Raw genomic sequence first — 11321 nt, forward strand, 5'->3', positions numbered from 1 at the left:
AAACGGCAGACCCTGTGGGATTTGGGAACCCAGGAGGTGAGGCAGGCAGCTGAGCTGAGGTCTCTGCTCTGCTCTCCGAAAGCATTCCTTCCGGGATCCTGAGAACACGAGTCGTACAGGCCCACTACCTTCACCTGTCCCCTGGACAATGACTTAGCCTCCCCTCTGGCCTCCCTGCCCCCTCTCAGGCCCCACCACGTCCATTCTCCCCTCTGCAACCAGAGTGACCATTCAATATGGTCAATCCAGCCATGTCATGTCATCCCTCTGCTTAAATCCTCCTAGGAGTTTCCCAGCCTACCAGTGATGAAGTTCAAATTCTATGTCCTGTTTACCCCACCATTCTGCAGGAGCCATGAGGCTTCCAAATTCAGGGAGTGTAAGGACACCACATATGCACAGAGGCTGTGCCACAGGCTGCACCTGCCAGTGACCGAACATGGTGGAGATACTGAGGCAGGCTCACTTCTGAGAGACACGGGGCTTCCCGAAAGCCCTGCTGAGTCTTCCTTAGACTGCACACTTCTGTGTCTGGGACATTTCCACCCAACCTCCCCTCCCTCAGAGTCAGCCTTACCTAAACCCTCAGAAATTTCATCCAGGCTTCTCCGTAATTAAGGGAGGAGCTGGACTCGTAGCCTGCAATCCTAGGTAAGGGGCACAGAGGAAGCACCAGCCACTGAAGTTATACTTTCCTGCACATGGGGTCCCCCACTGTCTCAGGGCAGCTTCCTAAGACTCCATGCAGATGTTTATGAAGGAAGCACCCTCAAGGGAAACCAGTTTGGGCAGGAGAGAAGCAGGACAAGGAAAGGGAAGGGGTTAAAGAGGCATCTGTTTCAGCTGCGGTCTGCATGGGACCGGCTCCTCTGTGGTGCCCTGGAGATCTCACGTGTATCCAAATAGGCCACGGAGGCGAAGGCTTGACCCACAGCCAATCTGAATGTGGTGGGTGAAATAACGCCCCGCACCCCTACATCTGTGTCTTAATCCATGGAATCTGTGAATATGTTACCTTATATGCAAAAAGGATGTTGAGTAAATTAAAGATGTTGAGATGGGGAGATTTTCCTGGATTTCCCAGATGGGCCCAATGTAATCACAAGGGGCAGTGAGAGGGAGATGTGAGGACAGAAGCAAAGGTTGGAGGGATGTGCTTGCTGGGGCCACTAGCCAAGGAATGCAGGTGCCCTCTAGAAACTGGAAAAGGCAAGAAAAAGGATTCTCCCCTAGAGCCTCCAGAAGGAACCAGCCTTGCTGACACCCTGATTTTAGCCCAGGGAAGCCCATTTTGGACTTCTGACCTCCAGTACTGTAAGATAACTTTGTGTGAAGCCACTAATCTGTGATGGTTTGTTGGAGCAGCAACAGGAATTGAACACGCTGAGTGCTGGCGGAATGCTTCGTGGTCCTCCTGGATCAGAAGTGGGTGAGAGGCAGAGGCTGCAGAGTTCCAGGCCATCTCCCCATCGCCTCCCAGCCCCTAGAGAGCCGCCGTGGGTCTGTTTGTCATCCCTTCTGGGTTCTGCTGAGTGATGGGGCTCCCCATCCTGCCTCTGCTCAGCCTCAGTCTAGAATTGGCATCTCAGCCAAGGGGCATCCCCCAGCTCACATGACAGTCACTCGGCCTCTCTTGTTTGGGTGCCCTCCTTTCTGATATGCCGAATGAGGACCTGGGGCACTGGTACCTTTGGCTTACTCTTCATTGTCTGTGTAAGTAATAAACAGTCTGAATCTATTATAAAAGCCCCTGAATCAGGGCTTGGAGTTGCCCTGAATTGTATGCACCTGAGCTTGACAAAGTCCCAGTGCCTAATCCTGCAGGGAACCCTGGAGTGGGGGTGACAGCAAAGGAGCTGGGCCTTTGTCCACATGACCACCAGTTGTGGCCATGGGCTGCCCGGGAGCCCCAGTGCCCAAGGGCAGGTCCCTGAAGGTATCAGGGGTGAGCCATTCACAGCAAAGCACACAGACCTTGGAAAAGGACCTCAGTGGGCCTGGAAGTGGGAGAAGAGATGAGGGTGTACAGTTCATTACATTCACCAATAATTCATATAAGACGCTGCAGGATTCATTGCTGAGGCACTGGATTTTGACCCCACAGAGAGAAAATGGATATGGTAGCCCAGCATACATAGCTGTAGGGACATTTCCTAGACCCCAGCTTCTAGGGCAGCCATCAAGGGTGCAATTTAACATTCCTGCCAATGTCCAGGCAGGCAGCAGTGGTTGTCCACAGACCAGGAAAAGGCAATTGTTTTCTTCATGAAAAAAGGCCCCAAGCCAGCACTTTTCATGCCAAACTACTGGCGGAAGCCAGCGGGCAGCCAGCCATGCCAGGGTTCTTGGAGCACAGAACCAAACAAGGTGGCTCAGCCCCCAACTGGATGCCAGGATAGGTTGGCTGGAGGAGGTCTGTAAGTACCACCGTGGCCATTCAGTGACAGCACAAAAGGATGCCTTGGTCCTCTCCTCTGGGTGCCCTTTGACCTTTTCTTTGAGAACCCCGGCTCCCCACCCATCTGCCTCCCCCTACCTCTATCTCTGCCACAATGTCTTCATTCCTTGTATTTTCCTATTGGCTTTTCTCCTGCTCTTCTCCTGACTTAGGGATGCAGAAGGCCCACAGGCACTTGGAGCATTGCTCAGCCACACAGGCCCCTCAGAGACAAAGAGGAATTTCCCTCATGACCTGGAGGACAAGATGGAGGGAAGGAGGGAAATTTAATCACAAGGTGGCAAAACTTTTTCTATTAAGGACCTGAAAGAAAATATTTTAGACTTTACAGGCCATGTGGTCTCTATTACAACAACCCAATTCCACCATTGTAGCATGAAAGCAGCCATAGACAATGCATAAATGAATGGGCCTTTGAATGGCAGTGTTCTAATAAAACTTTATTTACACAAACAGGCAGAGGGCCAGCTTTGACCTTTGGGTGTAGTTTGCAGACCCCTGGTTTACATGTTCCCAGAATCCAACAAGTTAGAATTAAAGGAACTTTAGAGATCATCCAGGCCAGGGAGGGCAGACAGGTTTCAAACCCATCTGCCAACTCTGAGTGCTCAGTGATGATTCCCTGATTTGCTGTGTTGAGGATTCTGAGGCCAACATCTAGCTTGGAGGGAAAGTGCCATAATAGTACCCTATGCCGTGGGCAGGGAGAGAGGAGTGGCAGCACAAGTGCCCCAGATTAGCTGCTTGATTAACCAAACACTTTCATTTCACATACAAACAGCTGGATCCCAGAGAGGTTAAGCGATTTGCCCAAGGCCACAGAACTGGCCAGAGAGTTGCTTGTCAACCGGCTTCTTCATGTTACTCTGCAGCAAAATGGAAAGCTGCATTTATTCCATTGCCTCATCACCACACATCTAAGCCAAATAATTTTCATGGTCCCTGGAGAGCAAAGGGTCAGAAGCCAGGGCCCCAGCCAGTCCTCGATTTGTGAGAATTGATGTTTTGGGGGCTTTCACAACTATAAAAAAAAGTCGCATTTGTGATGTCTGAAAAATTAGGAGACTGGCTTCAGAGAGTACTGCCTGACAGATCCTGGTCATGGTCGGGCATGAAGTAGCCCCAGCATTAAGCTGTAGCTTCCCTTTTTCAGCAAGAAATGCTTTGCAAGCACCATGGTCACTATCTCATGAGCCCCATAAGGCTAATGCCAATCAAGCATCAAGCTCTGGTATTTCTCACCCATGTGTCTATTTCCTAAGATTCTCAACAGCTGTGACTATCAGATAATAACTGCCATGGTCTTTATTAATCTTGATTAATAAGCAACTGTAGTAACAACTCTGAAAACAGGATGCAGGTTGAGGTTTTGGAAGAAACTTTTAAAACCCTGGACTCTGTAAACTAGGTCATTTTTAAAAATCAGACTTTCTACTGTTAGAGTATGTCTGGTAGCAGAGCTTTGAAATTGCTTGGGCGTCAGTTACTTGGCTCTTAAATGGAGTAATGCTTACCTCATGGGCTGTTGCAACATTCAGTTAAATAACAGATGACAGCCAAAGCCCACATGCCCAGGTCCACTCTGGAGGTCACTTACAGCTGCTGTTGGCAGTCCAGGCCATGCCAAGGGCTCTTTCCAGCACCTGCATCTATCTCTTCGGGTGTTCTCTATGCCCCTGCCCCAGTACCTCCCACCCCAGAGTGTTCAGCTCACACTCAACACAGGCTAGAGAAACCAGGGCAAGACTGCTCCTAGGGGCAGCCTCCAAGCAAGGAGGACTGCTAGGAGGTAGTGAAAAGGACTCTTGTGTCCTTGCCTTTCTGTGTACAGTTTTGAGGGATAGTTTGGTTTGATAAAACTTTATACAGTGTCTTAGAAGGCCCACAGGGATACCTGAGCCCTATTTCCTTCTCTCACTAATACACCCCCTTCTTGATTTTCTTTCCTTCCCTGCCTCACTTCTTCCCTCCCAGTGCATCCTGGGGTCATCTCTCAAATAAATGGCCTAAGCTCAAGTCTTTGTGTCAGGGGCATCCTGAGATACATTTAATTGTAATTTTTATTTTTTAGAGATGGGGCCTCACTATGTTGCCCTGTCTGGTCTTGAACTCCTAGCCTCCAGTAATCTTCTTGCGTCAGCCTCTCAAGTTGCTGGGATCACAGGCATGTACCACTGCATCTAAATCAGAGATACATTTGGATTTAGGAAAGGGAGTGGCTGGAAAGGAAGCAAGAACATGCATGTGTCCCCCATCCCAACACCATGGAAGAGGATGAGAGGGTTAAAGCTGCCGGCAGCTACGGAGCATCCGATAATGCAATACAAGAACTATCCCTGTCAATGAGCAGGAAGCTGACAGGGCTAATAGCAGCCAAGCAACTTTCTTTCCAGGCTGCTTTTCTATTCCTCTTCTGCTGGTTCCTCTGGGGAGGTCCCATTCATGACACAGTTCTGGTGGGTTTGAAAATCACGACACCCAACTCCACCACATCAAACACTCTGAGGTTGATATGGGAGAGACCGTAAATGAAGCTTGTACACCTGGGTTATTCACTGGCAGGGTGGGGCTGCAAATGCCTGGCATTTTGTCTGCCACGTGAACAGAGCTTGCATGCAGAATGAAGGTAAATAGAGGTAAGATGAGATGAGAGAGAGAGCCCATATCATCAGAGCCACTGAATCCAGCTATGACTTTGGAATCTGGTGGTTACTAGAGTCAACACAAACACATTCCCTTTATGTTTATTTGAGTTGCATTTCTGTCACTTGCAACCAAAAGGGTCCTGACCAAAAAAAGACATTTCAGTTGTGCCTCCCTGGAATTATTTCTTTTCCTGAAAAAGCCACGCTGTTCGGCATAACTGCTTTCCTCCTGCACCACAAGGGATAAGAATTTAATCAATTACTTAACATGGAGAGATTGAAGTTTTACCCATCCAGGTTTCCATTCAGGGACCCATCCATCTGTTTCTTATTTAAAGGTCTTATCAAGCGTGTGTTTTAATTTGTGTTCCCTCAAAACAAACCCTGGTGCAAGGATTCAGTTATGAGAGTAGTGAGCTGCTCAGGCAGACTCTGCCTGGGACCTTCTCATCCACTCATCCTGTAGAGCTGTTCCAGATGAAATTTACTTAACTACAAAGAACAGGACGCCCAAGTAACACTGGCTGAAAAAAAATGAAAACACAATTCTTTCATAAAATAAGAAGGCTGTGGGAGGAGATTTTGCAGTAGCAGCCCAATGACAAGGGAAAGGACCCTGGGTTTTTCTGTTATTTCTCCACTGCCAACCTCAGTGTGTTGGTTTGTCAGCCTCTTGCTTATCACCTTCTGGTCACAAGATGGCTGCTGCAGCCCCCAACATCACAACCACATACAAGGTCAGGAAGCATAGTGGGGCAGGGGCATTACAGCAGACATTATTGGAGCTCATCGCCTATCCCTCCATTTTATTATTTCAGTAGGCTCCAGTCAATTCCAAACTGCCTTAACCTGAGGGCTTTTCCCTAAAACCTCAGAAAACTGCTCTGCCCATGGACATCAGGTCAGAAGTGCCCCCCAAAATTCATATTCCTCCAGAGAAAGTCCTAACCAATGATTGAGGGGGAGTAGCTATAAAAGTACCTTAGTTCCCTCATTGCTCCAAGGGATAACCACAAGGCATGTGACTTACACCTTTTCCAAAAATGTCCCTGCATGATTAAGCTTAGTTCTCCACAGTAAAACCTGCTCTATAATGCACGCTTTGTTAAATATTTTTCCTTCCCTGTCTCACTTCCCTACTCCCTTGCTAGTGTTTTCCTGGGATTATGTTCCCAGAAAACTACTTACCCTATAATTCTTGTTTCAGGGAATGCTTCGGTGAGGGTTTGGGGGTGGGGACAAAGTAAGACAGCTCTTCTTTTTATCAAGGAGGGAAAATCTTGCCAGAAATTCCCCAGTAGACTTCCTCTTGACCATACCTGAGTTACCTGCCCCACCCCTGCCTCCAGCTGCCCTGGAGGAGTTGAAACAGTGAGCATCTGCAAAGTGCAGCAGGGCAGTTACATCTTTGGAAGTTGAGCTCACTGCCCACTCCCCCACCCCCAAATCAGGGTTTAGTCAGCAAAGTGAGTGAAATGGGCAATGACTGTTGAGTGGGCAACTTATGGAATGCCAGGTTCTGTTCAATCATTTTAAATCAGTGACTGAGATAATAAGGTAAAGGTCATTCTTGGCAAGTATGCAGTAGACAGGAAACCGTGGAGAGTAAGTAGCAAGTGTGCTGAGCAACAGAATGAGGAGCCTCAATAAACTCTGCAGAGCAGTGGACTGAAGGATCCTGCTGCAGGCCGGTGGGAGTTAGTGTAACAGCCTGGAGCTAGGGCCCAAAAGGAAAACAAAAACAACAACACAAGCATAAGATGGACAAGCGAAGGCTTATCAAGAACACACTGATGGGCTGGGCGCAGTGGCTAGCGCCTGTAATCCCAGCACTTCAGAAAGCCAAGGCAGGCAGATTGCTTGAGGTCAAGAGTCTGAGACCAGCCTGGCCAACATGGTGAAACCCCATCTCTACTGAAAATACAAAAATTAGCCAAGCATGGTGGCAGGCACCTGTAATCCCAACTACTCATGACCCAAGATGGCGCCACTGCACTCCAACTTGGGCAAAAGAGCAAAACTCCTTCTCAAAACAAAACAAAACAACAACAACAAAAAACACTGACAAAGACATATGGGGTAGCTTCAAGTGTCAGCAATGTGGTGTGCCTGCTGACTTCCAGCAGCATCACAGGTGATGTGTACTAAATATCTGTGCCCCTCCAAATTCATATGTTGATTCCTAATCTCCAATGCAATGATACTTGGACGTAAGGCCTTTGGGAGGTCATTTGGGTTAGATTAGGTCATACCATTATAAAAAGAGGAGGAGACAAGAGATCTCTCTCTCCACCATGTGAGGACACAGCAAGAAGGTGGTCCCTCTGTAAACTAAGGGAGCCCTCAACCAAGTTGACTGGCAGCTTGATCTTGGACTTCCCATCCTCCAGAACCATGAAAAATAAATGTCTGTGGTTTAAGCCACCCAGTCCATGGCACAGAGTCCCAAATGAACTAAGACAATAGGTTAATCCCATGAAGGCTAGTGTGAAGGTGGAGGAAGGTGAAAGTTCCCTTGTCCTTATCCTGGATTGATCATGGCTGGGGCCCATCCAACTGTGGATGTCACTTGAAACAAGCAGTAGCCAAATGAAGTGGGCTCAGAAGAAAGTAGCTGGGATGGAGGCAGATCTGGAAGCCACAAGATAAGAGAAGAGGCATTTGATGCAGGGCTGAGGAAATGTGACATGATAAAGATAAAACTGGAAGAGAACAGTATAGCCATGCTCAAATATTTGCTGTTATCTGGAAGATACATAAATCTTTATACAACTCTAGAAATTCCCTAATAGTATGTCAATCAGTGTCCAGTTAGGGAAATAGGAACCTCTTAGATATCTCAAATAGAAGGAATTGAATGTAGGGAACTGTTTACAAAAGTATTGAGAGAGTTGGAAAGGTAAGGATACCCAAAGATTAGTAACTGTAGGAAGTCACAGTCAACCTTGGCACTAGAAGAGCAACAGGAAAAATAGAATACCCAGAGCCATCAGTCACTAGACTGCTGGAGCTGCCAGAGCAGGAACCCAGGGACTTGTATTCATTGCTGCTTCTGCTGGAGGGTCAGTCTGATACAGAGAGAACAAGATTAGCTTCCCCTTCTTCTGCCTTCCAGTATCTCTCCAGTGCCTCCCATTGACTAAGCCTAAGCAGAAGCCAGCGGGCAAGATAACCTGGGAAATGCAGGGTTCCAGCCCCTTTGGCAGAGAGCAGAGCACTGAGGACAGGAATGGAGCCAAAAGCCAATGAGTGAGTGGTTCATGGTACAGGGTGGCAGGTGTAGAGAGAGTATGTGGATGAATGTAAGGAAGGCCTATCAAACCACCAGACTGGACAAAGACGAGAGAGAGGAAACAGTTCCCCTCTTCTGAGCCATTTCAGCAGAAGTGTAACAGGGAAGTTCCAACGTATGATAGGTCACTAGACAAGATATTTTATAAGGTTCATTTAACGCCTGAGAGCCTTAGATGCCAATTATGTACTGTCCACATTCACATTTCTGCAACTGTCTTTCGTTGCATGGTTTTATGCATTTCACAGGGGTGTTGATTATGTGGTCCCCATTCGATATGAATCTCCCTGGGAACTGGGCTCACAGCTAACTTCTCATCCTCTTGCCTCCCAACCACTTTGTGCAGCCTTCGTTAATGTTATCACCAGGCTGGTGGGCTTCTCTGCGTGGGAAATTATTTACAGTTCCACTCTGCTCTTGAAACGTGCCTAGAGTTTTAAAGGAAAGGGCCCTTCCAGAAAATGGACAGACACCGAAAATAAACTACCCAGAAAAATAAAACCTCTTTCCCCAGCACAAAGGAAATTTAAGAGCTCATTAGCCTTAGGAATAAATGGTATTTTCTAATGTGTGAAACCACTAGCAGGCAGAATATGAATATTCATAAGCATGCTCCTGGAATGAAGGTATTTGAAACCTTCCTTTAGGTACTGCCCATTTGGGGGAAAGGTATGTTAACTATTCGTAGTCTGATTGATTCAAAATGCTCTTAAAATGGGATTTCTGGCATTTTTGTTGGAACTTGTGTTCTGACACAAAATTCCTGGTGAAAGCAATGGGAAAAACTGGCCAAACTACCAACTACAGATCAAAAGCCTGGGATTAAGGAGATATCCAGGCAGTTTTATGAACTCTACTATCCCCACTCACATTTAATAACTCTTTCCACCTTGGCTTCCACGTTGTTCTATTCCCTGACCACAGGAGCTACCTCGATGCAGAAAGTCCCATGGGACCAAACCAGCAAGGGGACGGGGTGGAGCAGAGCATACTGAATGTCTGATTAAGAACCTCCTGGGTCTCATGGACTAAGCCTTGAGTTCTTTCCCTTCCTGGGTCTGGGTCTTTTTTGCGGGGGGCAGGGGAGATGGTGGTATTGGAGTAAGCCAATGGATCTAAACCTTGACTGCACATTGGAATCACCTTTGGAGCTTTGAAATATCATAATAACCAGGCCACACTCCAGATCGTCAATCACCGCAGTCTCTGGGGATGCACCTGGCCTTTGTTTTATCACTCAGGTGAAATCACTCAGGGGATTTCAATGTTCAGCCAATGTAGATGTGGTAGCCAGTCTCTAAGATGTTGCCATCAGTTCCCACCCTTCCCAACAGGCATGCTATTCCCCCATAAAGAAAGGGAGTGTGTTTTCTACCTTCTTGAATCTGGGCAGAAGTGACACGTGCCAGTTCTAGTCTAGCTTATAGGAGAAATGACAGTTTCTGTTCTTTTCCTTTTGAAAGATTTGCTCTTGGAACATTCCTGCTCAGACCCCAGCTGTTATGCAATGAGGCCAAAGCCATGTGCAGAGACCACATGAAGAGGGGTTGAGTGTATAGCTCAGCTACTCTCCCAGCATCAACTGCTGACCATGTTGGGAGACCCTCCCTGGAGGTCCAGCCCAGTTGAGCCTTCAGATGACTGCAACCCCCATTGACATCCGACAGTAAATATATGAGAGACTCTAAGTGAAAACTGCCCTACTGAGCCCAGTCAACCAGAAAGATGACAAATTATTGTTTTAAGCCAGTAGGCTTTGGGGTTAGTGTCTATTATACAGCATAGTCAACTGGAGCGGTTGGAAACCACTGGATCAAGACTAACCATCCACAAGTAAACATTCTCCTAAGGTACTTACTGTCCATAAGGAATTAGGATACCATCTGCCTCAACAGGGCCAACTCCATCCACATACTTAGTCTTGCCCCACTCCTACCCTCCAGCTATGCTCTGTGAGAGCACAACAGCCTGCTTGGTGTGGACAGCAGTGGGTCAAAGGGCGCTTCTAGTCCAAACGGGTATTTATTATTAATTTTTTAATATCATGTTAAAATTCATAGAGTTCTTGGTCCTATTTGGTTATTTTGATAACACTGGAAGGAAAGATGATCAATAGTACATTTTGCCGAAAAGGAACCTGAAGCCTCAGAGAGATTATATGACTTTGCCTTGTTGATGTAGCCAGTAATAGAGAAATAGGAAAATAAGTCCATGGGTCTTGAGTTTAATACAGGGTTCTTTCTGCTAAATTCTGTCCCTCTGAGGGAACACACACACACACACACACACACACACACACACACACACACACTTAGAGGGTGCAGTAGAAACTGCTGGTTGCCCCTTAATATTTATTTTCCCTTTGTGGCTTGAAAACAGAATGTTGACTTTACTCAGGGAAGCAATGTATCTAGCTAAAACCAAATTTCCCAATCTCTCTTGCAGCTAGTGTGGTCATGTGACTAGTGAGATGTAAGCCTTAATGTTTTATGGAGTTTCCAGGAAGCCTGCTTTAGAGAAACCTGTCTCAATTGAGAAAAATATCCCTTTTGCCTTACCTCCTTCTTCTAGCCTATATCTCATCGAATGGCTGGAGCTCTAGCAGCTATATTGGACCATGAGGTGAGTCTGAGGGTAGAAGCTGCAAGCTGCAGACAACGGAGCAGAAAGACATAACAAGCTTGGGTTCTGCCCTGGATTGCCTATCTCCAAACTTCCTAACAAATTAGAGAATAAATACTTGGGGATTTAAGCCACTATTTTTCAGGTCTCTATTTTAGCCAACTACAATTTTAAATTCATAAAGTGTACATAATTGATTATTCTGAAATTCCCATGGAAATTCTATTTGATGGTACAACTAACCCTTAGGACACCAGAAACCTATTTTCCATGACACAGCTTTAAACTTAGGCCTTGATTCCAG

At 46.8% G+C, this 11321-nt stretch overlaps 2 annotated features.

The window, feature by feature from the left end:
• Positions 9625 to 9813: a silencer, noted in NCBI's record as "fragment chr20:17782572-17782760 (GRCh37/hg19 assembly coordinates)". NCBI's record gives its function as "represses an EF-1alpha promoter that drives an FKBP-Casp9 reporter gene in an ReSE screen in HepG2 liver carcinoma cells {active_cell/tissue: HepG2}" and the evidence as "EXISTENCE:reporter gene assay evidence [ECO:0000049][PMID:32094911]".
• Positions 10876 to 11045: an enhancer, noted in NCBI's record as "experimental_59986 CRE fragment used in MPRA reporter constructs". NCBI's record gives its function as "activates a minimal promoter by MPRAs in K562 erythroleukemia cells, with activity observed for both the introgressed and non-introgressed 20:17783908 variant alleles {active_cell/tissue: K562}" and the evidence as "EXISTENCE:reporter gene assay evidence [ECO:0000049][PMID:34662402]".

This window comes from Homo sapiens, chromosome 20 (genome assembly GCF_000001405.40).
Source record: "Homo sapiens chromosome 20, GRCh38.p14 Primary Assembly".
In the NCBI taxonomy this organism is placed as follows: domain Eukaryota; kingdom Metazoa; phylum Chordata; class Mammalia; order Primates; family Hominidae; genus Homo; species Homo sapiens.